Genomic DNA, 26,952 nt, shown 5'->3' on the forward strand with positions numbered 1-26,952 from the left:
ACTGCAATCCTCACTTAAACCTGCAAGGTAGGTGGTGTTAGCCTTATTTGCAGGAGGTGAAACCAAGTCCCTGGGAGGTTTGAGTAACTTGTCCCAGGTCACACAGCACAGTAAGTGGGAGAGATGGAATTTGGATCCTGGTCTGAAGCCCATGCTCAGTCTCCTAACCACTTGCTACCATCCCTCTGCCTCATTAAGATAAATTCTGAGCTAAAGATGAACACTGAACGAGTGGTAAGCAATCTACTACCTGCTGAGTTCAGTTCCCTAGGGTCAGTACTGTATTTACTTTCACATTCACTATTCTAATTCACACTTTGACCATGAGCTCAACACTGGGAACTAATCTGAGGGCATAAAGTAAGGCTTTTTCCCCTACTTGTCTTACAAAAGTGATCCTGTTTACTGTGAAAGATTTGCAAACTACAAAAAAGTATAGTTCCTCAAAAAAATAAACATAGAATTACCATATGATCTAGCAATTCCCCTGCTACATATATACCCCAAAGAATTGAAAGCAGGGACTCGAACAGATATTTGATACTCATGTTCATAGCAACATTATTTACAACAGCTAAAATGTAGAAGTAACCAAAATGTTTACCGACAGATAAGTAGATAAACAAAATGTGGTCTATACATGCAATGGAGTATTATTCAGCCTTAACAAGGAAGGAAATCCTAATGCATGCTACAGCATGGGATAAACTTTGAAGACATCATGCTGAATGAAATAGTCACAAAAGGAAGAATATTGTGTTACTCCACTTACATGAGGTTTCTAGAATAGTCAAATTAATAAAGATGGAAAGTAGAAAGGTCATGGAGGGAAAATAAGGGAGTTGTTTAACTACAGTTTCAATTTTGCTAGATGAAAAGAGTTCTGCCAATGGATAGTGGTGGTGATGGTTGCACAATGTGAATGCACTTCATGCCACTGAACTGTATCTTTAAAAATAGTTAAGATGGTAAAATGTATGTTATGTATCTTTTACCACCATAAAAAAAGTATAAAGAAACAGGAAAAAAAATTGGCTATGGTATCTCAGTGCAACTCTGTTGATATGTTCACATGGTCTTTCTGAGTCTTTTTTCTAATCTTAGCCTTTTGATGGGTCTTTTTTGACAGCTTCCTCTCTTCTCCATTACAGGAACATGTTTTTGCAGTTGTGCGACCCAAAGAGGCCATTTCAAGCTGCCCCATCAGATGTGGAGCGCTGATGTGTAAGTATTACTTTAATATCCATGACATGGCTGGGTAGACAAGAGACTCCCAGGAAAGACCGAAATCACAGAACACGATTATGGGCAATCTGGGCTCCTGGGGACCTTTAGGGCACGCCATCTCGTACTGATGAAGGATCACTGATTTATCAGATGTTACCCTGCTTAAACAGAAGCAGCCTATTAGCGCAGCTCACACCATTCCTAGAATCAAACATATCCAACCCACCCCCCTCATTTTACAGAGAAAAATCAATTGAGAACCGCAGATCTTATTCCTAGAAAGCTGATGAACCCTGTTTCTCTCGCAATGGGAAGACCTGGCTGCCCCAGGCTGCATCCCCACCTGCCACAGGGGCTGGCGCTCGCTCTGCAGTTGGCCGCAGTCCCCTCCACTCTTCTCTCCAAATAGGCTCGGGTCTTTAACCTAGACTACCCCACTGGCCCCGAAGCATTTTTTTTTTTTTTTAGATAGGGTCTACCTCTGTCGCCCAGGCTGGAGTGTGGAGTGCGGTGGCGCGATCTCGGCTCACTGCAACCTCCGTCTCCTGGGGGCATGCGATTCTCCTGCCTTAGCCTCCTGAGTAGCTGGGACTACAGGCGCGCACCACCACACCTGGCTAGTTTTTGTATTTTTAGTAGAGATGGGATTTCGCCATGTTGGGCAGGCTGGTCTCGAACTCCTGACCTCAAGTGATCCACCCATCTCGGCCTCCCAAAGTGCTGGGATTACAGGTGTCCGCCACCACGCCCGGCTAATTTTTGTACTTTTAGCAGAGATGAGGTTTTGCCATGTTGGCCAGGCTGGTCTCGAACTCCTGACCTCTGGTGATCCACCCGCTTTGACCTCCCTAAGTGCTGGGATTACAGGCGCGAGACACCGGGCCCGGCCCCCCGCCGAAGCATTTTTAACTGCGGTGCCGGCTTTAAAAAAACTTTTAGGTCAAGAAATGCGCTCCAGAAGCTCGGCGAGGGTAGGCTGGGCAGGCGCCTTCCGTCACCGGCGCAGCGGTAGCGGCAGCGGACATCCCCGCCTGGGCAGGCCCAGGTCCGCGGAAGCCTCGGGGCCCTGGCCCCACTGTGTCACACACCGCCCGGGGCCGGGCCCCTGCACGCCCGCGGGCTTCGGCGTCCGTACCGGTACAGCGGGCGGCGACACCTACCTCGCGGGACCGTGCCCAGCACCCGGCCTGGCACACAGCGGGCACCCGGTCGGGGGGCGGTGTCGCGCAGTCCCAGCGAAAAGGCTGCAGGAGCAATGACAACAGGGGCGGAAGCCCCCTCCCCACGCAGCCCGAGGGGCCGCGGCGGCCACCCGCGCCGGGCCCCAGGACCCCGCACCTCAGACTGGGGTCGCGTGGGTGGCTGCGCGCAGCTAGGCGCTCGCGCATGCGCACCGCCATCCAGGCCACGGAATGAGGCCAGAGGTTAGATGGGTTGAACCACTACGGGAAGGGGAGGGGAAGCTTTGGGAGGAGTGATGGAGGGTGGAAAGCGGAAGAAAAAAGCAAGATGGGACCGCAAGCTGGACGTGACTGTAAGGGGTCATGGCTGCGGAATCCAGCAGGGGCATTGGGGTTGACGTGCACTCAGCGCCGAGCTTCTTCGTAGTTCCTCACCCCCTTGGCTACTATGGGCTGGTCCGGAAGGTCAGGCAAGGGGAAGCTGCGCAGGCGCAGTGTGAGCGGCAACATGGCGTCCAGGTCTAAGCGGCGTGCCGTGGAAAGTGGGGTTCCGCAGCCGCCGGATCCCCCAGTCCAGCGCGACGAGGAAGAGGAAAAAGAAGTCGAAAATGAGGATGAAGACGATGATGACAGTGACAAGGAAAAGGATGAAGAGGACGAGGTCATTGACGAGGTGAGAAGGACACGCTCCCCTAGTTGGTTTATACCTGAGAAAAACTTTTTGGCAAGCCCAGGCTGTGTAAAAATAGTGTAGGGTCTTCCCTGACCCTGAGGGTCTGTGAGGAGAAACTGGAGATAAGTTCTTTCTCAGGTTTCTCCTCGGTCTTTAACACACTGCAGCCATAGTAGTTATTTTTTAAAGGTCTAGTCCGGTCCAGTTAATCTCCCAACCCGCGTCCTCCCCGAAAAAGCCCGCCACAACAGGTGTGTTCTTCTCGTCCTCTTTAGTTCTCAGGCTGAAGCCTCAGATCCTGAATCGGCCACCCCGGGCTCGCAGAGGGGGCCCTCTCCCCTCGGGGCAGCAGCTGTCCTCCTCTTCACTCTGCGGGCGGCACTCACTTGGGCCCTCAGTTTCTTGAAGGCTCTTGCCGCGTTCTACCGTAGAAGCCTTTTCAAATGCTCTTCTTTATCCTGCAGTTTTCCCTTCCTTCTTCAGATCTCAGCTAGGCTGTATTTTCTGGCTCCTGGGGCAGCTGACCAAGTCGTGGGTAAATCTTTGGTTTCATAGTCTCATAGAACTGTGTTCCTTTCTTCAGACTAGGTCCTACCGTAGTGCCTGGCAATATAGGTACTTATTATTTGTTTAGTAAACAATTAGGACTGAATGATCCTTCAGCCTACTGAATGTTTAAATAGATACCTCAGCCTTAACTTGTCCAAAGCAGAATTTGTATAATAATTCATGCCCCTCTCTTAATCGTCACCATTTCTATAAATGGCCCCTAAAGTCACCAGCTGCTCTAACCCAAAACCTGGGGCTTAACTTTAATTCCTCCCTTTCCTCATCCTATATCCAGCCCATCAGTAAATCCTGTTATCCAGACATTTCTCAGCACTAATTCTGAGACCATCGTAGTCCACACCTCTATCATCTCTTGCCTGGACTACTATTTAATGTAACAGCTTTTAACCGGCGTTCTTTTCTCCATTTTTGTTCCCCTACAATCAGTCTATACTCCACTTACAGTCAGAGAGATCTTATAGGTCTGATCTCAGGCCTCTGCTTAGATTGCTGCATTGGCTTTCTAGTTCATTTACAAGAAAATCAAGAGTCTTCACAATTGAGGGACGGAAAGGCAGCCTAGATGGCTGGATCAGAATAAGGAAGAGAGAGTGATAGGAAATAAAATCAGAGAGGTAATCATGAGTCATGATGAGCATGGAGGGGAGCATGGAGAGAAGCATGGATGCAGGATTAGAGGTGACACCATGGTGTGGGTATGTGATCAATCTTCCTTCCCTTACAAATTTTACTTTGGCTCTATGCCTTGAATGCCATCTCACCATTTTTCACTTAGAACTTTGACTGGCTCTTTTATTACTTTTGGGTTATAGAAATCAATGCTGCTTGTGTTAACATGGGAAATCTATCACACCACCACAGTCTTAATTCTAAATCACCTGGGAATGAGGGACAGGGCTCTTTTCTACAAACGTGACTGTTCCTGCTGAAGCCATGTGGAGATGAGCCCATACCCAGGAAAAGGGTGCTGGACAGATAATCCATTTGCCGCCCATTTCCCTGGTGGTGCCATAATAGTCTGGGACAGAGGTCCGAGATGTCTGTCTAGACAAAGAAAAAAACACTAGATGAGCATTATTTACAGAATGTATTTATATCTAAGGAATAAGTTTAAGTCCTGAATAATGACAGTTTGTTATTTGGTTTAGTTTGATCCTGTTTGGAACACTCCCACCCGACCCCTTGTGTTTTGCTGCTCACATAATCTGGCTAAGTTAGCATTTGAAGTCTGCAAAGCTGGACTTAAAGAGTTCAAATTGGAGCTGGAATTGCTCTAAGCAATTCCAGGGCCTTGCAATTTTACAATTAAGGAAGACTTAAATATATACATAGTCAGGGTGGCAAGGTAAAAGGAGGTCTGATTTCCTCTGCGATGTTCTTCAGCTAAGACCTAAATTCTGAAACCGTTAAAACCTGAAGTGCCTTTAAATATATTATTTCATCAGAGCCCCAGGTTCATTGTGTCACTTATCAAGGTCTGATTTAGGGTCCTCAAGGACTAATCTTGTTAGTGTTTAAAAGCAACTAGGTTTTGTTTTTGGCATTTTAGTTCCATCTTCTAGATTCTGTTGTCTTGCAGATAGAGATCAGGGAGCCCAGCTACACATTCATTCTTCTAGTCCCTTGTACTCATTGTATTTCCTTCTGCCTTAGGGCCTTAGTTTGTGCTGTTCCCTGTACCAGGAACTCTCTTTGCTGTTTCTCGGTTTCTTGCTCAAATGTCACTTCAAGGAAGGCTTTCCTGACTGACTTCTTATTTTTTAAGTTGTTACAACATTGTGTACCTTTGTTTTATAGCACTTACATTTATTTCTATGAATATTTCCTTAATGCCTATATTCCTTCCTAAATCGTAAGCTGCACGAGAGCAGGATCATTTGTGTCTGCCTTACTAACCTTTTCATCTTGAGTGCCTGGCACAGTGCTTGGTACCTGGATTGATACTTAATAAATATTTGCTAAGCAAATGTAGTGTAACCTCAAATCCATGGGCTAAGTCAAGCTCTAGGCAATTCCAGGGACTTTTGAAGTGATTTTGATTTTTGCCCACCCTTGTAATCAGGAAAATAATTTATCCTTTGTGGCTGCCGTGTCTGGTTTATTTGAACTGGACTTTCTCAACATTTAAACTAGGTTACTCTGAGTGTTTTGTTTTCTCAGGCTTTTGTGTCACCTGAAGAAATAGTGTGAAGGTGCTTTGTATTCTTCACAGATGGCAATCTTGGCAATGTTTGCCTGTTTTAAAGTCTAGATGTTTGTAGTTTTTCTGGTAACAACTATTTTGTGTGTTATTTACAGGAAGTGAATATTGAATTTGAAGCTTATTCCCTATCAGATAATGATTATGACGGAATTAAGAAATTACTGCAGCAGGTATTGTCTTTTATTTATTATGCATAAATTTCCTCTTCTAAGAAAAATCAGGGGCCGGGTGCAGTGGTTCATGCCTATAATCTCAGCATTTTGGAAGGCCGAGGTGAGAGGATTGCTTGAGCCCAGGAGTTTGAGACCAGCCTGGGCAACATAATGAGAACCTGTCTCTACAAAAAAATTAAAAATTAGCCAACTGTGGTAGCACACACCGTTAGTCCTAACTCCTCAGGAGGCTGAGGCTGGAGGATTACTTGAGTCTAAGAGCTCAAGGCTGCAGCTATGAATGTGCCATTGAGCTCCAGTCTGGGCAACAGAGTGAGCCTCTGTCTCTAAAAAAAAAGAAAATTCAGGTCATTCAATACAGGCTCTCCCAAGTTCATCTTTTTAGAATTTCCATTTCTATCCTCTCCACCTTGCCTGGAAGGAAGAATTATTTCCTTTCATCTGCTAATTAGAGTTATTTTGTTTTTTTTTTTAATTCACAATTCTTATGTAACAGTCATATAACTGTGCTGTTTGGTGCTATAAAATTGATGCTTGCTGCTTCTCCTTATTCTTTTACTCATATAATATGACTTTGGTTCTTTAGCCTTTATAGCTCTACCGTCTTTTTCACCAAATTCTTTGGCCTTAAGTTTATCCTCTCTCGTTTCTCCCTTTTTTCTCCCCCTCCCCCATTACTTCTATATTACTACTGACTTCTTCTTTTCTGAAATTTCCTAATCTTTAGCTTCTTTGACTCTCCTGGGCTTTTCTTTCCCTCTTGGGGTTGCTTTTCTAGATCATCATCTTAAGTCACAGAAATTTCATTGTTTGTATTTGAATATAGGATTTGAAGTTATTAGAAATCATGCTTTGATCTTAATTTAAAATAATTTTTTCCTCCTTTTAGCTTTTTCTAAAGGCTCCTGTGAACACTGCAGAACTAACAGATCTCTTAATTCAACAGAACCATATTGGGAGTGTGATTAAGGTAAGTAGGATAATTGTGTTTATTCTGATTAAATGAGTTCTTTATTCTGTTCATGCTGGGCCTCACCATGCTTGTAATCCCAGCACTTTGGGAAGCAAAGGTGGGAGGATTGCTTGAGGCCAGGAGTTCAAGACCATCCTGGGCAATATAGCAATACTCTGTCTCTACAAAAAATAACAAAAAATTAGCCGGGCATAGTAGCACATGCCTGTAGTCTTTTTACCCAGGTGGCTGAGGTAGGAGGATCTCTTGAGCCAAGAAGTTGAAGGCCATGGTGAGCTTTGTGCCGCTGCACTCTAGCCGGGCAACACAGCAAGACCCTATATCTGAAAAAAAAAAAAAAAAAAAAAAAAAGTTCTTTATTCTGTTTAGCTCAAATTGGAAGCAGTATTACTGGAGGAATGGAGACTGATCAGAAGTCATTGCAGAAATCCAAGCTTATTAAATGCAGTAGTCCAGGTGGGGGCAATGGAGAGGGAGAGAAGTGGGCTCATTTAGAAAATATTTGGGAGATGAAATATGATGAGGTTTAGTCCCTGATTGGGTCTGAAAGTGAGAGGAAAAGGAGTCAAGGATGACTTCCAGGTTTCTAGCTTGAGCAAACAGGATAACAAACATGGAGGAAGGTCAAATTAGGAGGGGGAATGTGAATTTGGATTTGTACATTTTGAGTTTGAGTTACCTGTGAGATACCGGGTAGCAGGTGGAGCCCTGGAGACTTGGGAGTTGGTCGTAAATGTTACTGAGGTCGTAGAAGTGATTGAGATTGCGCAGGGAGGGAAGGGACAGACACCTTAGTAATACCAAGAATACTTCGATGAGTAATATAAGTGGCAGAGCCAGCAAAGGAGATTAAAAGGGATGACAGGAGAAGTAGAAGAAACAATAGTGCAGTGATGTCATACACAGCAAGAAAGATAACATTTGAAGGAGGAGGGGATGGTCATCTTTATCAGATAGATGTTGTAGAGAGCTCAACAAAATAAGGACTGGTTTAGACCCTGGGTCTGCTGCTTATCATCTGGTGGTTCTTTGGGTTATCTGTTGTTTGTATAACAAACCACCCCATAGCTTAGTGTCGTAAAATAGCAGTAGTCATTTATTTGGCTAATGGATCTACAGTTTGGACAGAGCTCAGTGGGCACAACTCATCTGTGCTCCTGCTCCATCATGTTAGCTGGGGTGGCTTGACTAGGGGCTGGAGGATTCCCTTTCAAGATGGCTCACTCACATGACTGGCAAGTTAGCCCTAGCTGTCTGTCGGGAGCTTAGCTGGGACTCTGGACCAGGGGCCTTAGTTCTTCTCCATGTGGGCCTCGTCACACATTGGTTTGCTTCCAAGAGCAAGCTGCCCAAAAGAAGCAGGCAGAAGTGATATAGTGCCATTTCCACCATTTGCTTAGTCTTTACAGATAGAAATTTCTATCTAGGGGGAGGGCACATTGATCCCACCACTCCATGAGAAAAGTACCTAGGTCACTTTGTCAGAAGAGCATGTCCAAGGAGAGATCCATTGGGGCCATCTGTGAAAGATACAGTCTGCCACAGTACCTTAATCTGTTTCCATTTCTGTCTCTGAAAATGAGGATGGTACTAGCACCGATCTTGTAGAGTGCATGGGTAAACAAAATGAATTGCTGACTGCTTAAAACAGTGTCTGGCAGCTGACATGTGCTACATATGTGTAGCTGTCACTGTTGATGTCTTTTTCCTGTTCCTAGCACCTGTTCCCTAGCCTGTTGTGAAAAACACAACAAACAAAAGCTCCATTCAGTCTAATGTTCCACTCTTAAGTACATCACCTTCAGAGCCAAAATTCTTGAAAAGTAATCTTAAGTCATGGTTTCTACTTCCTGTCCTCCTATTCATTCTTCAGACACTCTTATCTGACTTTTACACCACTAAAATTCGGACACTGAGTGATAGGGTCACCAACATACTTGTTACTAAATACAGTGTACACTTTTCAAGGCTTCTGACAATATTAGTAACTTTATGGCACTCAATGTAAAGAAAATGAGAAATTAAACCTATGGGGCATTCCTTTTATTAGGGCAATGGGAAAAAGCAGACCACCTGCCCTTTCATCAAATAAATGTGATCTCTAGCTGATTCGTGTCTTAGAAGACCTAATGGATATGGAGGAGAAGCAGTTATTTTTATCCTTGAAAGAGGTTATTATCTAATGGCAGGATTCACTCTTTAAATGGATAATCACATCAATAGCTCTGCAGTTGTAACTGTGGCTTCTTGGGATTCTCCAGAGACACTTGAGGTGTCCTGAGGATAGAGACTTCTTGTTCTTAGTAAAGGGACTACCCATAGTGTTCGGTGGAGCCAGTCCCTAGGATCATAGAACAAAGGGCAGGGGGTTCTCTTTTTTCCCCTTCTCTCTTGCTAATGTGATAGGTGTAAGTGGCCCTCAAGCATTGCCTAGCTTCACTAATGGTCAAGACTGACAAGTGTTCTGGAAACTCATGAGTTTTAGATGAAACAATGCTGTGGGCCAGCAGAGAAGCAAGGCTTGGCTCCAGCCTAATTGTGTAGAAAACAAATGAAAATGCTTTATTTCATGAGGTTTATCTCTTCTGGATTTGTATTATATTGAGAATCTGATAAAAGAAAATGACTTAATCTGGTACAAAGAAATTTCAATCTGTTCAGAATCTGAAAAGAGGAACAGAGTCGAGGTAAAGCGAAATGAACAAGGTCACACAGTATTTAAGATACAATGCTTTCCAAGATGATGGTGGTAAAACTGTGACAGTATTTAAAATACAATGCTTTCTAAGATGGCGGTGGTAAAACAAAGTTTTGCTTTTGAAAAGTGAAAAGATAAATGAGGCCTACATCCCAAGACTTGGTTTTATACTCTTGGTATTATACTAAATATAACATTTAAATATTTTTTCTTTTAAAATAGCAAACGGATGTTTCAGAAGACAGCAATGATGATATGGATGAAGATGAGGTTTTTGGTTTCATAAGCCTTTTAAATTTAACTGAAAGAAAGGTTGGTTTCACTGGATGGCATCTGAATGGTTATTTCTTAGGCCAAAACCACTTTTATTTAATGCATGGTGAAAATGTCTTTTATGTTAAACAGTGATATTAACTATAGGGATAAGTGCTCTTGTGAAATCTTATTGTAATCCTTTTTCAATATGAAGGTGGTGGTGTTGGGTCTGTACCCAGTTAAAGTTGTTTACTCCCTGTGGTTTAGGGAATCATCTGGCTTTGCAGTCCTGATGTTGGTACTGATGCAGGAGCTGTTTGTGCTGTCTCTCTGCAGCTGTTATCTTTGCTACTTGTGTAGTGGGGATATTCTCAGGCTTTGCTGCCTCAATGTTGAGGGCATTTACTGACATTTTATTTTGTTTCGATTCATCTCTTTTTATTGATTCTCTGATGAGTTGTAATAAAAAGTAAACCAGCTGCTTACCCACCTCAGAATAAGATGCAGGCTACACTTAGTCTTTAATTTTGAAATAAACTGTCCAGTTACTTCCATCTATCTTTATGAGATGGACTAGAGTTGCCATTCCAGTGTGTCTGAATGTTAATTATGACTCTCTTACCACTCATCATGGGATGGTAAATAACCAGTGTATTTACTTTTGAGAAATGCTTAAGCAGTCAACACTGAAGACATACAAGACGTTAAGGCTATGGCAGGAAACTGCCCTTAGCTGTAAGATGAAAAGTGATAGCTTTTACTCTCAGGTTTTGTCCTCTATGTGATGGCTTGTAATAGGAAACAAGCTTTCTCTTTGCTTTCTAGGGTACCCAGTGTGTTGAACAAATTCAAGAGTTGGTTCTACGCTTCTGTGAGAAGAACTGTGAAAAGAGCATGGTTGAACAGCTGGACAAGTTTTTAAATGACACCACCAAGCCTGTGGGCCTTCTCCTAAGTGAAAGATTCATTAATGTCCCTCCACAGATCGCTCTGCCCATGTACCAGCAGCTTCAGTAAGAGATTCTGGGAAAATATCTTTGAACAGTAATTTTTTTTTCAAATAGATTCCTAAATGTCATTTAAGTAGAATATGTAGATATAGAAAGAGTTCTGTCCTTGGTTTAAGTGGGTTTAGTGTGAGGGGAGTGGAAGAAACATCCTGTGAAGTACATACATTATTAACAACTGGCTTTTTGAAGAGTTTGTGACAATAATCATGAAATTTTAACTTAAGATTTAAGTGATATATAAGTAGATAATTTCATATAGACTTTGCATCCCCATTTGATTGAAGTTTTTCACCTTCACAGATAGCTTTCTGCAACATGAATAAAATAATGAACAATTACAACAATAACAAAACTGGTAAAGTTCCCAAATTCTATTGGTATGTTTCATAACAAATGAAACCATAGTCCTGATACTGTGGCTAGCTTTTCAGGGTTTTTGTTATTCTATTTTTTAATCCAGAAGTTTTAAGTTTACAAAAATATTTCAAATGTAGCTGTGAAATCTAGCAAACTGAGTGTACTAAGAATTGTATTGTCTGTGCTTTGCAACAGAGGACAAAATATAGGCAGATTCTCTTATTTATTTCTATCTAATTTAAATTTTTTTTTTTTTTTGGTAGAGACAGGGTCTTGCTACATTGCCCAGGCTGGTCTTGAACTCCTAGGCTAAAGTGATCTTCCTGCCTCGGCCTCCCAGTGTTGGGATTACAGGTGTCAGTCACAGCACTTGACCTAGACAGGTTCTTTATAGAATATTCTTTCTCAGAGGTCATAGCCCTTGCGTTGTGGTTTTCCTTTAAATAGCTGTAGGAATGCAACTCTACTCTGGAAACCTTTACGTTTGCTGTTTTTTCCTAGGGATTCGATGCTTCTTATCTCCTGCTCCCTGCTCTCTCAGCTGTAGCTCAGATTGTGCTTCTGGTGCCTTAAGTGGTTTTTGTTTTTTTTTGGTTTTCTTTTTTTCTGATCAGCTGGAGCTCACATTTATTTGGTTTTATAGGAGGGTGATTTGCTTTCTCCTAGTCCTGTTAAAGCTGAAGTGAGCCAAGCGCAGTGGTGCACGCCTGTAGTCGCAGCTACTCAGGAGGCTGAGGCAGGGGGAATGCTTGAGGCCAGGAGTTCCAGGCTGCAATATACTATGATTGTGCCTGTGAATAGCCACTGCACGCCAGCCTGGGCAAAATTACAAGACCCTATCTTTTTTTTTTTCTTTTTTTTTTTTTGAAAAGGCCAGGTGTGGTGGCTGACACTTGTAATTCCAACACTTTGGGAGGCCGAAGCTGGCAGATCACTTGAGGCTAGGAGTTTGAGACCAGCCTGGCCAACATGGCGAAACCCCAATTCTACTAAAAATACACCCACAAAAAATTAGCCGGGTATGGTGGTGCAGACCTGTAATCCCAGCTACTCAGGAGGCTTAGGCACGAAAATCGTGTGAACCTGGCAGGCAGAGGTTGCAGTGAGCCGAGATTGTGCCATTGTACTCTACAGCCTGGGCAACAGAGTGAGATTTTGTCTCCAAACGAAAAAAAGAAAAAAAAAAAAAAGGAAAGCTGAAGAGGACGGTTGTTCTGAGTTTCTTCTTTTGTTCAAGGGCATCCAGATGCACAAGGCTATGTTTAATTTTCAGAAAGAAGAAACATTAAGGCTTTGTTGCGATTCCATTGCTAGAATTTAGGTTGTGTGTTTATGCAGTTTCTGCAGTATGTCAGAAATTAGTTCCAGACTCTAGCAATTAGAGACTGTGGTAGTAGTCACAGGCTGTAGTGACATTGGTTGTGGCTGTATACCTTTGTGTGTTTCAGTTAAATGTTCATTGCTTTAAAAAATTCAAAAATTCAGATTCGTATATATTTTTAACTTATGCACAGGCAGAGCAGTGATACATTGAGTGAATTTGAGACTCATCTGATCTGTTAGTTGCTATATATCCACAAATCAGCATAATCTGAGAGATATATCATAGTATTATAAAAAGTAATACATAATCTAAAATGCAACTGATTATGTAAATAAAAATCATTCCTGTAGACTAAGTGTTCAGATTGAATGCCTGCGTCACAGCAGAACCCACTGAAGATGCCTCACCGGGTTTTCTGTGCTCTGGTTTGTTGATGGATTTCACTTGACCCAGCAGGTAAACAAATGTTGTGTGTGTGCCTTGCAGGAAAGAACTGGCGGGGGCACACAGAACCAATAAGCCATGTGGGAAGTGCTACTTTTACCTTCTGATTAGTAAGACATTTGTGGAAGCAGGAAAAAACAATTCCAAAAAGAAACCTAGCAACAAAAAGAAAGCTGCGTTAATGTTTGCAAATGCAGAGGAAGAATTTTTCTATGAGGTAAGACTATCCTGCTTATTTGTTTAGATGTAAATAAGGATTTTCTTGAAAATGATTTATCAAGATTTATTGTTCTCCCACTTTAGGTCCAAGTCTTTCAAGTGTGGCTACTCTGTTTTTCTGTTTCCCCACAGGACCTAGCAGCTAACATAGTGCCAGGTGCATAGTAGGTACTCAGGAGGCTAGGCACCAGCCTCCTTGCCTGCACTGTGGTTATGAGCATGAGGAGGAGGAGGAGAAAAGTGATTAACCTGTTAAGAATGATTAGGCATTTATAATATGCTTCCTGTGAAATCTTTCATTCTAAAACCATGCGGAGAGGTAGACATTAGCCTGGGGTTTACAGATGTGGACTTTAAGGCATAGGGAAATGAGGGAAATTACCTGCGATCACACAGCTGGTCAGTGTGGAAGCTGGGGCACCCCTGCTGCTCTGTGTCCTTAGTCGTGGATGTCATCCTGCTGGTGGGATATCTCCAGCATTTTTTTCCTATAAAGGTAGCTTGTACTGTGATGGACAGCCATATACCAGAGAATATTCTTACCCTCTCTTCCTCTGAAAAATCTTGAAGTGGGCCAGGTGCGGTGGTGCACACCTGTAATCCCAGCACCTTGGGAAGCTGAGGCGGGCAGATCACCTGAGGCCAGAAATTCAAGACCAGCCTGGCCAACAGGGAGAAACCCCATCTCTACTAAAAATACAAAAAAAAAAAAATTAGCCGGGCATGGTGGCAGATGCCTGTAATCCCAGCTACTCGGAAGGCTAAGGCAGGAAAATTGCTTGAACCTGGGAGGCAGAGGCTGCAGTGAGCCGAGATCGCGCCACTGCACTCCAGCCTGAGCAACAAGGAAGAAACTCCGTCTCAAAAACAAACAAACAAACAAAAAACACAAAAACATCTTGAGCCAGGCACGGTGGCTCACGCCTGTAATCCCAGCACTTTGGGAGGTCAAGGCGGGTGGATCACGAGGTCAGGAGATCGAGACCATCCTGGCTAACATGGTGAAACCCCGTCTCTACTAAAAAATACAAAAAATTAGCCGGGCGTGGTGGCACGTGCCTGTAGTCCCAGCTACTCGGGAGGCTGAGGCAGGAGAATGGCATAAACCCGGGAGGCGGAGCTTGCAGTGAGCCGAGATTGCGCCACTGCACTCCAGCCTGGGCGACAGAGCGAGACTCTGTCTCAGAAAAAAAAAAATCTTGAAGTGTATCTCTGAGGGGAACATATTTTCCTGAATTGGATGATATCACATCACTTTGAAGACTTCTGCAGAAGACTAAAGCGCTACAAATTTAGCTGTGCCCTTCTTTTCCAGGAAGTAAATAGTAAACATAATTTTTAAAAAACATAGGCCGGGTGCGGTGGCTCATGCCTGTAATCCCAGCACTTTGGGAGGCCAAGGCGGGCGGATCACGAGGTCAGGAGATCAGACCATCCTGGCTAACACGATGAAACGCTGTCTTTACTAAAAATACAAAAAATTAGCCAGGCACAATGGTGGGCACCGGTAGTCCCAGCTACTTGGGAGGCTGAGGCAGGAGAATGGTGTGAACCCGGGAGGCAGAGCTTGCGGTGAGCCGAGATCACGCCACTGCACTCCAGCCTGGGTGACAGAGTGAGACTCTGTCTCAAAAAAAAAAAACAAACAAACAAAAAAAACAAAACCATATGCTTCAACACCTCAGGTTGACCATTTGGGGGGAGTGTGTATGGGTGTTTTAAGATGGCGGGGTATGCAGATTTACTCTGTCTTCACACAAAAGCCTGATGCTAAGGAAGCAGCTGAGAAAGTGAGAAAAGAGTGTTTGAAGACAAGTTCTTGTTAAATATCAAATTTTACAAGTCTTAATTTCATTATGTTTCACAAGATTATTTTGACAATTAAATGAAAATACCACTTAGCTGCTTGTTCACCTCTTAGAAATTGCACACCTCTATCCCTGTTCCTCATGTGGGTTTAAAATCTACTTGGTTTGTGTTTTATAACTTCTGCCTGAATGTCCCATTTGAACTTTTTCAATTCTGAGTTTTGCTTTTTTTTAGCTCTCATTCTTATTTAAGCATATGCCAAACGTAATATTCTTTGCCGTAGATCAAATGGGTTTTGTCTTTGGGTTGTCCCGATTTTTAATTCATGGTTACTTATTTGGTTTAGAAGGCAATTCTCAAGTTCAACTACTCAGTGCAGGAGGAGAGCGACACTTGTCTGGGAGGCAAATGGTCTTTTGATGACGTACCAATGACGCCCTTGCGAACTGTGATGTTAATTCCAGGCGACAAGATGAACGAAATCATGGATAAACTGAAAGAATATCTATCTGTCTAACCCATTTCCAATGGACAGTGATGGGCTTGTTTTTGTAAAATTACCAGAAAACTCAGTGGAGATTTACTGAAAAACTCAGACTTTATTCAGATTAAGTTCCTCTACAAAAAGTAGGGTTCTGTCCCATGTGTCTCTGACACATTTACAAAATACCAGTTTTTTAAAATTTTGGTCAAATTATGAGTGGTTGATTTAAAAACTTTTCCAAGAAGAAGAAAAGCATGGAGTAGTAATTTAAAGAACTCAATAAAAACTTCTATTTTTTATTTTAAAATAATATACACAGTGTTATTTTCTTCAAGACCGTCCTGTGGATGTGAAATCCGTCTTCGCGTCATGTATCTCCCATATCCAGCAGTTCAGCCATCCAGCTACCTTTGGGACCCTGCTGCACCTTGTGTTTGCTGGGGAGTCACTGGAGAGTGCATCTCTGTTCAGTTTCAGGGCACGTCTCACACATTTGCTGTTCCTTATTCATTGTTGACACAGGGGATAGGTGATCCACTACTTGCTGTAGAATGTCCTTACTTTCACTAGGAGGCAGATTACTGAAATAGTATTGTGGTACCAGCTGCATAAATCTGTTTATTTAAGACAAAAAGATGAGATTATGAGTGGGGAAGGTGGTGAGAGACACCAAACATTATGTCTGGGCACTTCCCATCCCTGGAGAATCTACCTGTAGAACCGGTATTTAATTTGAACTCAGATAGTATCTCAGTCCGACTTTGTAAAATAAATACTTTCTGTTTTTTATGCAGCCAATCCTGTTGCATTTCTAGAATAAGTTGGCCTCTCTAGTGTTATGCCACACAGTGGAAGTGCTGTCTACCACTAACCTTTAGTGGAAACTAGTATTTCCCCTAAGGCCCATCACCATATAAGAGGCACCAATCGTATGCTTAAGAGAGCTTTGGGTAGGGGAGAGAGGGGGTATCTTTGCTTCTTATTTTAACTAGTACCACTCCACATCCAGCTGCGTAAGCCAGACATCTATGAGTCACTCTTGGTTGCTGCCTTGAACACTACTTGCTGGAATAGTAGTGGAACCTTCAAAATGGATCCAGACTCTGTACTGGCCTCTCAAAGACTAGTGGAGTAGTCTCACTCTTGCCATTGCCCCTCCTTTCCATTCATGTAGCAGCCACAGTTATTTTTCCTTTTTTCTTTTTAGACAGCGTCTTGGTCTGTCTCCCAGGCTGGTGTGCGGTGGTGTGACAGTACCTCACTGCAGCCTTGACCTCCTGGGCTCAAGCGATCCTCTGTCGCAGAATCTCAAGTAGCTGGGACTATAGGCGCATGCCACCACACCCGGCTAATTTTTTTATTTTGTAGAGACGGGGTCTTGCTATGTTGCCAGGGCTGGTCTTGAACTCTTGGGCTCAAGCCATCTTCCTCCTGCCTTGGCCTCCCAAGGTGCCTGGCCAGCTACAGTGATCCTTAAAACTATATCGAGAAGATGCTACTCTTGCTTAAAATGCTCCAATTGCTGTGTACTGCACTTAGATAAAATATAAACTATGTGGCCCATAAAGCCTTACACCTTCTGGTGCCTGCCTCTCTCTTCAGCCTTCCCTCCTTCCTCTTCCCCGACAGCTCCAACTGCAGTGGCTCTTGAAAGATGGCTAAGCTCATTCCTCTCAAGGTCAATGCACCTGTATACAGTGCATTTCTCTAGCATTCTGTCCTTCTTAAAGACACATGGTCTTTGTTTTTATTTCTACACTGTCTTTTCTATGCTGTAATCTAACAGGCAGGGACATTTCTTAGGTATCATCCACAGAGGCCTGCCCTTAGTAGGTACTGTCAACGTAAATTAAGATTGCATCAGTATAAACTTTAGAACTAAGAATAAAAGCCAAATTTGTCATTTACTCCTACAGGTATGAATTAAAAAAAAAATACAACCCTTTCTTCTCCATTAAACTTACAGTTCAGGAGAGATTTCTGAGGTAATCCTGATGTAGTTGTTCTCAGAAATGCTGAATTTATGGAAGAGGACCCACTCTGGCATCTTCTTGGTGATTGAGTAACCAGACAGGGGATGCAGCTGAGCAACCTGCTTATGTGTCAGCATTAAGTAGTTACCTGATCCATCAACATCCCGAGCAATCTGAAAGGCAGAATTTTAAAGAAAAAAGATTTTGTATTAATATGGAGATCATTATACAAAGATGTTTGTTGAAAAAAATACCAAAGTATTTTATACGGGATAGTTAAAACTAACGTTTGCCACTCATGTTTCCTACTTTCACATGTAGAAAATAAGCCATAAGCATGTTTTGCCTAAAACTTTGAGACAGTGATGTTAACTAACTTCAGCAACAGCAGGGCACTGCTAAAACAGTGCAGCTGTGAGGTTAATGTTTTGGCCATGAGATGAAACTTAGCACGCTACCCACCATACTATGGGCGACATACACTCCAATGCCAAGTGCTTTACACTTGGTGTGTAGCACGCAATGACCCTGTGATGTAGGAACCTTACTTTACAGATGAGGAAATCCATAATGATATGTCATTTTTCTCCATTAAGACTACATATTCTGCCTTGGCCCTTTATTCCCTTGAGGGGAAGGATACTTAAGTACCAAATCTTTAATAATAACATGGATTTTTAGTTTTACTTAATGTCAAAATCATCATCCTAAGCCATTGTTGGCAGCATATCCTGAGTATGTGCAATTCAGCAGAGCCTATGCTGAGGTGACCCCACCCCTTCTCACCTGCATAAAGTAACCGGACAGAAGAGCTTTCTTTATGTTTAGAGTGTTTTCCTTGGAGCCAAAAGCAGGTTCTGCATAGGGAAGCTCGATTCGCTTGATAATTTCTAAGAGTTCAGCTCGAATAACATCTGCCATTCTGAGTGCTGAACAGTTGAGGAAGTAATCACGACACCACTTTTCCACACAGTCTAGGAGGGAAAGAACACAAGGCTATTTAGAAATGATTTGTCAGAAGCTCTGAAGAGCCCAGGCCAGGCAGTTGCCATCTTTAAGCCCTGTGCTCTCCTCTCCTACAAAGGAGGCCACGTAGGTGAGTGGCAGGAAGGCAGCAAGGACAAGGATTTCTGGTGGCTGCAAGGTCAGCTGTCAGGGCACTACCAGGAAGGGAGACGGTGCCACCGACAGCACCCATGCCACCTGCTGGGGTTCTGTGATCCCAGCCAACTGTGGAAACTGTTCCTAGTGGTGACTGAAGATGTATTTCACTAACCCGTGGCTCATAAAGGCCAGAGAGGATTTTGTAAGATCTATGTTGTGTCTCTATGCATACAGCATGTATGTATGTGGTCCCATTTAATCAAACTAGGCAGGAAAAAGCCCACAGTATAAATTCCTCTGATCTATGAAAATATCTCATATTTTATTTAATGATAAGAACAGGATTACTACCAGGTTGATTTGGGAATTAATTATGTTATAGTTAAGCTCATCTATCTACCCTAGCTGTAACTTTTATCTTAAAATTCAGGCATGTGGGTGAGTTTGAAGTTAGTCTTTCTGGCCACCTGTAATTACTTAAGATGGACCTGGGAATGTACATGGCCATGGCACCATGGACAGAAGACCCTCATTTACCCTGTCCTGTCCACTCATGCTGCTCGGAGCAACCACAGCATGTACTTAGTGTCACCCATTCAGCATGCCCTCAAAAGGTGCCACCAGATTCCTGTGTACCTGCTGGCTCCACTGACAACTTTTTCTTCTCAGCTTTGAAACACTAACTCCCTGTTCTTTATACAATTCTGTCTTTCAAATTGCTGTCATATTTTTCACACTACTTCACATATTTTCACACCATCTTTCAGAACAAAGGAGGTAAAAGATGCTTCATGGAAAATGTCAGGGAGGGACCTTACTGGCTGCCCTTTATGGGTGGCTCTAGCCTCTGCTATGCTGCTTTGCCCTGTTTGCCCCCTCCTCTTGTTTCTGTCTGCATAGCAGCTTCCAGTTGACTTCTGAGTACCTTCCTGTGACAGGTAAGCTACCCACTGCCCTTCAGGCATACAAAGGACTTTGTGGCTTTGCTTTGACATGCGCCATTCTCTTCTCTGGACACCCTCTGCTCTCCTCTATCAAGCTCCGTCAGCAACTCTGCAGCCTCCCCTCAGCACCCCAGCCTACCTATTCTGCACTAGTATCTGGAGCTCTGCAGCCTCTCTGCATGCACGTGGTGAATGTGCCAGGATACGGAAGGTGCACAGCACAACTCTGACAGTGGGCACGTAGAGGTGGCTGTTCTTGTCTTCCTCCAAAGACCCATGTACGAGTCTGTGTCCCCCGTCACCATGCCCCAAGCAAGCTTGCTCTGAAGGCTGGCTGAGTGGAGTCCTGGAGCTCTGGAAGTACAGGCCCGCCATGGTGGCACACCAGAGCTCCGTGGGAGCAGGGGGACTGAGCATCTCCCACTCTGCAGATGCCTGTGGGTGCGTTTAGGGCCTCAAGTGCCATTGCATTCAAGTGGCCAGTAGGGCTGGCGAAGAATGTTTGATGAATAACTAATAAGGACTCAGACTTATCTAGGGAAAGGAAGGTGGAATTAATAGGTAGTTTCTGAGCATTCACTTACACTCACTGCTAGAATTCAGAGTTGTGTCTTGGTAAGCCTTGTAAATGCTGATGAGGGTAAAGTGATCTCCTTCGGGATGTAAAAATGTCTTCCAACAAGTCAAGGCAGCCTCTTCAGCTCCATGTGGCACATGTGAAAAGCAATTTGGAGCTTCAAAATGAAAAAGGTCACATGGTTAGCAATAATGAAGACATTTTATCTTAGCCTAACATGCAGAGGGGAGGGGTCACGACTGTTAGTGGCATGGCTCCTGTCTTGGTACTCTGAATAAATATGTTATTCTTGTTTACTTAGAAATCCCAGAAATTTAGAGTGAGTCATCCTAATTCTCCCTCTCCTTTTGTGTGTGTGTGTTTGCTTTTCTAAGGTCAACTGAATATGGTTAATATCCTGCTTCTATTCCGGCAGGAGCAGGGAAAACCTGAGGTGCTTGGAGGTCCAGACACAAGAAGAGGATTGGAACCAGTTCCGATACAGCACAATGGTTGGTCTGTTCCCCCAGTATTAGAATAAATTAAAACATACAAGCCAGGATGAATGAAGCCAATAGGAAATAAAAAACAGGCACACAACATTATTTGGGGAAAAACACCTCTAGTGACACATTTTCTTCATCTGCACTGATTATTTCAGCAAAAGAAATCTAGTATGTTTTCATACATCTGATGTATAAATTTGCTGAACTTTGAGTTAGTTTTCTTAAGATAATTTTTCATATTAAGAAAATTTTCCTTTTCTAACCTATTAAAATACCTCACTATCATTTCAAAAGGTTAAATGAGTTGATCACTATCTCTGCTCTGTGCTCCTCAAAATATAATTTCAAATGGATCCGATCTAAATCTATACCTAGTGCAGATTTGCAAAAAAAGAAAAGGAATAGTCATTAAGGATACCTGTTACCATGGCTGCGATTGTTAGCACTTCATCTACACAGTCAAATTCACAGGACGCTAAGATAGACTTCGAGAGTTGTGGATCAAGAGGAAACTCTGACATGATGATTCCAAATTCAGAAAGATTTCCATCATTATCCAGTGCTGCCAGATAATCTAAGTCTTCCAATGCCTGCATCAAACTTTCTGGTGCTAGGAAAGGAAAAAAATAATAATTTAAGAGTCTCATATGGCTAAGATGGAGAAACAGGTACTGGACTTTTCCCTCCTGCATGAAACAAGCAAACAATGGACAAAATATGTGAAACAACGGTTTGCAAGCCACCAAATACCAGGGAGTGAAGGATAGTGATTCTTGAGAGGGCAAACTCAGGAGGGGAGCCCTGTGATTGTCCAGCTCATGCTCCGAGGAGGGTCCCAGCTGCAGTGTGCATGCGGGGGGAACCCAGGTGGAGCCTGCCAGCCTCCCTGCAGTAGGAAAACAATGCCAGGGATCCAGGGAGACTAAGGTGGCCGGAACTCGCGGTCACAGTACTGGAGAGAGACACACAGATCTAAGTCGGGGGCCAGAGGGAGCTCCCTCAACTAGGCAGCACAGCCCTACTGATCAGCGCATGTGTGTAAGGAACCACCTCAGGCCAGAGAAAGAGCCATGTGAGAAGATTAGAAGGAACAGTGGTGCTGACACAGGACCTAGGGTAGGGCCTGTTCCCACCACCCTAGCTGGAAAACCTCATGATTTATGGGGCACTGGGTAGAAAACACAAGTGAGAAACCCTAGATGGGCACTGCCACCTGACACAGCTATACAGCAGGACCTGAAAGGATCACACTGCATCCTAGGACAAAGCTCAAAAGTACCTCTGGGACTACAAAAATATTCAGTGCCCAAGAAGGTAAAATGTACAATGTCTAGCATCCAGTAGAGAGGCATGAAAAGCAGGAAAATACATTGCATAATACAGAGAAAAATTAATCACAACTGACCTGGATCTCAGATGCTAGAAATAGTAGACAAAGATGTTATTTCCCAGTGCAAATAAAGAAATAAAGATAGCAAGCTGATTCTCTCCATCTCTTTATTTCTTTTAAGTTTATGTAACATCGATAATGATGTGGTATTATATATGCTCAGTCTTTACCAAAGTTTTTAAAAATCCATTTATTTAAAGAAATATATTCTCTTTGTGGAATAAGGCTATATATAGATTGGTGCAAAAGTAATTGCGGTTTTTGCCATTACTTTCAATGGCAAAAACCACAATTATTTTTGCACCAACCTAATATTTATTAAATAAATACATGTGTTTTGTCCACCCTTCTGGTTCCTGGTATAGCAATACAGGTCACACAATGAAGCAAATCCCATAATAGAAAGCTGCTGTATTGTTATACCCCAAAACTGCAGGATTTATGAGCCACTAGGTTGGTTTTGTTTTAGTTCCAGTAAGTGCAAGGTGGGCAGGGGCTGAAGACTCTGGGGCCCTAAGAAGCGCTTGAACCTGTCTGCTCCTGGGAGTTCAAAGTAACATATGGTAAAAATTTTCTTATGTGCTGTCTAAACTTTGATCATTAAGCTCTATGTCTAAATTTCAGGCAAACTGAGTAGCTCAAAAACCTCACTTTGGGAGGCCGAGGCGGGAGGATCACCAGGTCAGGAGATTGAGACCATCCTGGCTAACACGGTGAAACCCCGTCTCAACTAAAAAAATACAAAAAATTAGCCGGGCGTGGTGGCAGGCGCCTGTGGTCCCAGCTACTCGGGAGGTTGAGGCAGGAGAATGGCGTGAACCCAGGAAGTGGAGCTTGTAGTGAGCCGAGATGGCACCACTGCACTCCAGCCTGGGCGACAGAGCGAGACTCCGTCTCAAAAAAAAAAAAACCTACTCACAAACTTCGATTTGATAAAATTCCTCCATTCCTGTCAGGACAACTGGAAGGCATTAGAAGCCACTACTGTAGGCTGGGAAATGACTCAGGGAAGCTGCGATGCAGCCTACCACACCTCCAGTCCTGCTGGAGGACAGCGGAGCCAGCACCAGATATAACTTCAGCCTGACGCGCCCACCACAGGCAAAAGATCTGCTACTAGGAGTGAGGGGGCAGTGCCAAACCACCCAAGGGAAATCTGCAGGGAACCCAGACATCCGCTGGAGTACTGAAGCAAGGCTTTCATCCTTACCTTGGGGCAAATATGTTGAATTTCCCTATTCTGAATGTTTTCCCATCAAGATTTAAAACTGAGCAGAAGCTTATGGCTTCTCAGAGATATTCCTGTCCTGCCTGGGTCCTGACATACAGCATTACCGTCTTACTTGTTCATTCTTGGGGACCTTTGGACTAACCATGACCTTGAGAAATCACAATCATGGGAAATAAACAGATGGGCTATTCAGAAAAAAAGTTCAAGAGTTCTATCAGTGAGGCATGACATGAAAAGTAACAGCCGATCTGCTGGAGAAGGTACAAGAAGCAGCATCAGAAATAAGCATCTTAAACAGAGCAGGAAGGGGCTGGAGTACAAACTTAACTACTGAAAGCTTTTCAGAAACCAGTTTCTATAAATCAGCAAAGCTGCTGCATTATAAGTTACAGGATCTTTGGCAATGGTCCCTTTAAGCATCTGGCTTGACAGCCAGGCTCTGTCCCCAAAGGGCACCTACTATTCATTTTTACACCCTGGAGTTGAGTTGGCCGCACACAGGGTTAGTAACATAAATGACTTCATGATTCTGCTCCTGGTCCTACAACAGAAAAGGAGAGGATGTTCTTGGGGTTTTATTATATTAGAAAGAATGAGTTAATGAATGCAGATTACACAGGTGAAGAACATTAATAAATAACTAAATAGGATTTGCTAATATTATATTCTGCATTTTATCTCCCCAGTGTGGCCCATAAACTTGCTTAGCTAAAAAGCAGAAGAGTTTATATGGGGGTTCTTTAGGGCAGTGCTGCTTAAGTATAATCCATAGTAAGTAACGCTAACAAATGGAATGGAAGTGTTTTAGTGTCAGGCCTCTTTGTTCTGGCAGTGCAAAATCAGACTGCTTTATTCTGAAGGCAATTTTGAGATGAACCAAACATCATCTTTATTAAGCTCGCTTGCCAGCGGCAGCTGTACTCCCTGTGGAATAGCTCACTGCAAGGTCACACTCCTCCTCCACTACCATCACTCAAAGTAATGTGAAGGGCTATCATTACAGTATTTCTTCACTGTTCTGTGTGCCTGTTTTCTGTGGAACCCCAAATGCCAAGCTCCAATATGTGCCTGCATTTTCCTTCCTTGGCATCAGTAGAAAACCTAGTTACAAAGAGGTCATTAAACTGCAACCAGCAGAGGAGGAGCCGATGCAGCGCTAACTCCAAGCTGAGCACAGGCCAAGTGGAGTCCAAGGCCACGGCAGTTCCAGAGCTGACAGCCCCACGCGGCATGTTTCCCATGTTCTTATAGTGTTCTTATAGATGTCAGATGGTAGGAAGCCTCGGTTGGCTCCCAAACCCTCACAGGAAGTCTGTCTACTCAGGTGCTCAGGAGGCTTCCTCCAGCCAGGTCTCTTTTGTTATAACAATCTTTGGCCTACTTTCTGCCTAATCTGGCAAAAATGGCTCAGAAACACTGAATTTCCTCTCAAGGTAGCTGACATTATGCAAATGTATGCCAACATATTTATATGTACTTTCCTACAGGTAAAAGTTTTAGTCTGCAATTATTCCTGGGAATATGCATAGGAGAGAGAACATCATGCCTTCTCTTGTCTAAAGTGGACATGTATTTTCACGAGGATAGGGCAGGGGGTCTCCTGGTAACCAGTCCCCAAAGCCAGGGCCATTCCCTCTCCTTCCACCACACTCCTTAACCCCCTTTCTTCCCAATAAGAGCAGAGAAGTAAGGCTGGATTTGAGTCATTAGAGTTGGAAAGGATGTTAGAGATAGAGTGGCCTCCATGGTAAACTGAAGAAAAGCATTTTCAACTCCCTGCCCACTGGCGGGAGCCAAGATCCTTCTGTCCAGCCTTGCCCTGGGCAGGGCTCTCGGGTAATGGCAGTATCCCCACTGCCCTCCCAGTGCCACCCGCACCGTGAGGCAGGCGGAGGCCAGCTCCTCCGAGCTTAGCTGTGCCTGAAGACCTCTCACACGCCAGCTCTGCTCCTGCCCGTGACATGGAAGGAAACACACGCAGACCTTTGACAGCCACAGGCACCTCCTGATCCTCTCGACTCTCCCTGCATGTCACATCACTCCCACCGCCCAGGCCTCAGAAAGGACTAAGTGGGGAAGGAAGCTGAATTTGTCTCCCACACGTGACTGCCTTTGCTCATGTTCTGGGGAAGACTATCGGCCTTCTAGAGGGCACCTGTCTAGTCAGTATTCCTCAAGCGTAAGGGCATTGGGAAAGTTCTGCCACTTCACAAATTACCAACGGTCTCCACTCCCAGTAACTGTTCTTACAGCCAGGAAGCTGGCCCCAGGTTTTTGTAGTGGTGACTAGCTGAAGACTCTCCCCACCCTCATACCATTATAGAGAACTATCTTTAAACAAGAGTTGGCACTGTAGTTAGATAGTATGGAACTGGCAGCCCCAGAACAACCTAGAAAAATCAGGAAAAAAAATGCATGGGTTTTAAAATGACCATACAGTGGGTGTTTTCTATATGAGTAGTTAAAGGACTTTATGTTTGGTGTTGGTTCATGATTTCCTCATAAGGGTGAGGCTCAAATTATTATTTGCTCTCAGTCTGTTTTGAGTATCTTGTGCTATTGGCACTGGCAAGGCTCTGGGGCAGGCACACATCTGGGACAGCCTCACTCTTGGCCCTTCTAGCATGGATGGTCTCATTTATATATGGAGATGCACACGTAAATCAAGAATCCTGCTCTACTGGAAATGCACTTTTACCTCCAAATTGTCCCCTTTTATAGGAACTGTACCTTCACTTCCATACTTATAGGACAGGATTTTGTGCCACGTGACAACACCACATTATCACTACTAACCCCAGTCACAGGGGACTGGTTCAGGGTGGGCAGCTTCTCAAATAGAATCAATGGCTCCCTTTCTTGGGCGTTTTCGACTTTAGACCAAGGGAGTTTCCAGGAGCTGACATAGTAAATCATAAAGCTTAGGGCAGAGAGCAGCTAAGACTCTGCCCAGTTCCTAACGGGTCATTAACTAGTACCCATCGCGGCCTGGGGGTTGGAGACCCCTGCATTAATGTATATACACATTTATATCAATGGACAGAGAGAAATGCAGTTATCACTTAGGAGGGCTGAAGGAGCAAATGAAGTTTCTGTTTCTGATTTATTTTAGGGTTGGGACTTGGGCATTGTGTAAAAGAGTCCACAGGGGGAGACTCTACACATTTGCATAATGCCAGCTAACTACTCATATAGAAAACACCCATTGTATGGTCATTTTAAAACCCATGCATTTTTCTTCCTGATTTTTCTAGGTTGTTCTGGGACTGCCAGTTCCATACCATGGAAGGGAGGGAGGGAGGGGAACCTAGAGATACAGGGATGAGAAACTAAAAAACTTGTTTTGGATTTCTTAAGATACCTCAGTTCCCTTATCATAATTCACTTTTTCCTTATGCTAGTTTGAGCTGGATTACTAGTGCTTGCATTCAGAAGAATTTAATATATCCACTGCAACATAATGCATTCTATAACAGAGTGCTTCCAGAGTGCCACTGGAACTTCCAAATGGTAGGGACGTAGCATAGGGAAGAACAAAAAGAGCTATACTCACATAGTACCTACTGTGTGCCAGGTACATGCATTAATGCAGAGGTCCCCAAACTTTTTGGCACCAGGGACCGACTTCATGGAAGACAATTTTTCCAC

At 43.6% G+C, this 26,952-nt stretch overlaps 3 protein-coding genes across 30 annotated transcripts in view, besides 5 other annotated features; 1 reads left to right on the forward strand and 2 right to left on the reverse strand.

The window, feature by feature from the left end:
• UROS (uroporphyrinogen III synthase) overlaps window positions 1-2,617 on the reverse strand; it is a 38,279-nt gene extending 35,662 nt beyond the window's left edge. For 17 of the 22 annotated variants that reach the window (NR_136677.2, NR_136678.2, NR_136675.2 and 14 more), the window contains exon 1: window positions 2,388-2,617. The gene's annotated coding sequence lies outside the window, so the exon portion shown is untranslated. The remainder of the gene's footprint in view (window positions 1-2,387) is intronic. The other 5 variants (XM_047425708.1, XM_024448154.2, XM_017016611.3 and 2 more) reach the window with 1 other exon arrangement.
• Window positions 2,264-2,693: a silencer, noted in NCBI's record as "silent region_2925". NCBI's record gives its function as "represses an Ori minimal core promoter by ATAC-STARR-seq in GM12878 lymphoblastoid cells {active_cell/tissue: GM12878}" and the evidence as "EXISTENCE:reporter gene assay evidence [ECO:0000049][PMID:35858748]".
• Window positions 2,264-3,230: a biological region, named in NCBI's record as "H3K27ac hESC enhancer GRCh37_chr10:127511755-127512440".
• Window positions 2,545-3,230: an enhancer, noted in NCBI's record as "H3K27ac hESC enhancer chr10:127511755-127512440 (GRCh37/hg19 assembly coordinates)". NCBI's record gives its function as "activates a minimal SCP1, AML or CMV promoter by ChIP-STARR-seq in primed H9 embryonic stem cells {active_cell/tissue: H9 hESC(primed)}" and the evidence as "EXISTENCE:reporter gene assay evidence [ECO:0000049][PMID:30033119]".
• Window positions 2,774-2,973: an enhancer, noted in NCBI's record as "active region_4195". NCBI's record gives its function as "activates an Ori minimal core promoter by ATAC-STARR-seq in GM12878 lymphoblastoid cells {active_cell/tissue: GM12878}" and the evidence as "EXISTENCE:reporter gene assay evidence [ECO:0000049][PMID:35858748]".
• The window catches only part of BCCIP (BRCA2 and CDKN1A interacting protein), a 30,150-nt gene continuing 6,102 nt past the window's right edge, over window positions 2,905-26,952 (forward strand). The window contains exons 1-7 of one of the 3 annotated variants that reach the window (NM_016567.4): window positions 2,905-3,081; window positions 5,950-6,024; window positions 6,917-6,997; window positions 9,921-10,010; window positions 10,779-10,966; window positions 13,131-13,305; window positions 20,614-20,689. In NM_016567.4, the coding sequence (NP_057651.1) occupies window positions 2,917-3,081; window positions 5,950-6,024; window positions 6,917-6,997; window positions 9,921-10,010; window positions 10,779-10,966; window positions 13,131-13,305; window positions 20,614-20,689 (850 nt within the window). In that variant the 5' untranslated portion in view covers window positions 2,905-2,916. Of the gene's footprint in view, window positions 3,082-5,949; window positions 6,025-6,916; window positions 6,998-9,920; window positions 10,011-10,778; window positions 10,967-13,130; window positions 13,306-15,462; window positions 15,911-20,613; window positions 22,162-26,952 lie in introns of those variants that run through there. The other 2 variants (NM_078469.3, NM_078468.3) reach the window with 2 other exon arrangements.
• Window positions 3,450-3,669: a silencer, noted in NCBI's record as "fragment chr10:127512660-127512879 (GRCh37/hg19 assembly coordinates)". NCBI's record gives its function as "represses an EF-1alpha promoter that drives an FKBP-Casp9 reporter gene in an ReSE screen in K562 erythroleukemia cells {active_cell/tissue: K562}" and the evidence as "EXISTENCE:reporter gene assay evidence [ECO:0000049][PMID:32094911]".
• DHX32 (DEAH-box helicase 32 (putative)) overlaps window positions 15,696-26,952 on the reverse strand; it is a 60,149-nt gene continuing 48,892 nt past the window's right edge. For all 5 annotated transcript variants that reach the window (XM_047425470.1, XM_047425468.1, XM_047425469.1 and 2 more), the window contains 5 exons: window positions 21,102-21,293; window positions 20,206-20,355; window positions 18,360-18,547; window positions 17,565-17,746; window positions 15,696-16,214 (listed from right to left, as the gene is read on the reverse strand). In XM_047425470.1, coding sequence (XP_047281426.1) covers window positions 16,046-16,214; window positions 17,565-17,746; window positions 18,360-18,547; window positions 20,206-20,355; window positions 21,102-21,293 — 881 coding nt within the window. In that variant the 3' untranslated portion in view covers window positions 15,696-16,045. The remainder of the gene's footprint in view (window positions 16,215-17,564; window positions 17,747-18,359; window positions 18,548-20,205; window positions 20,356-21,101; window positions 21,294-26,952) is intronic.

This window comes from Homo sapiens, chromosome 10, assembly GCF_000001405.40.
Source record: "Homo sapiens chromosome 10, GRCh38.p14 Primary Assembly".
Taxonomy (NCBI): Eukaryota; Metazoa; Chordata; class Mammalia; order Primates; family Hominidae; genus Homo; species Homo sapiens.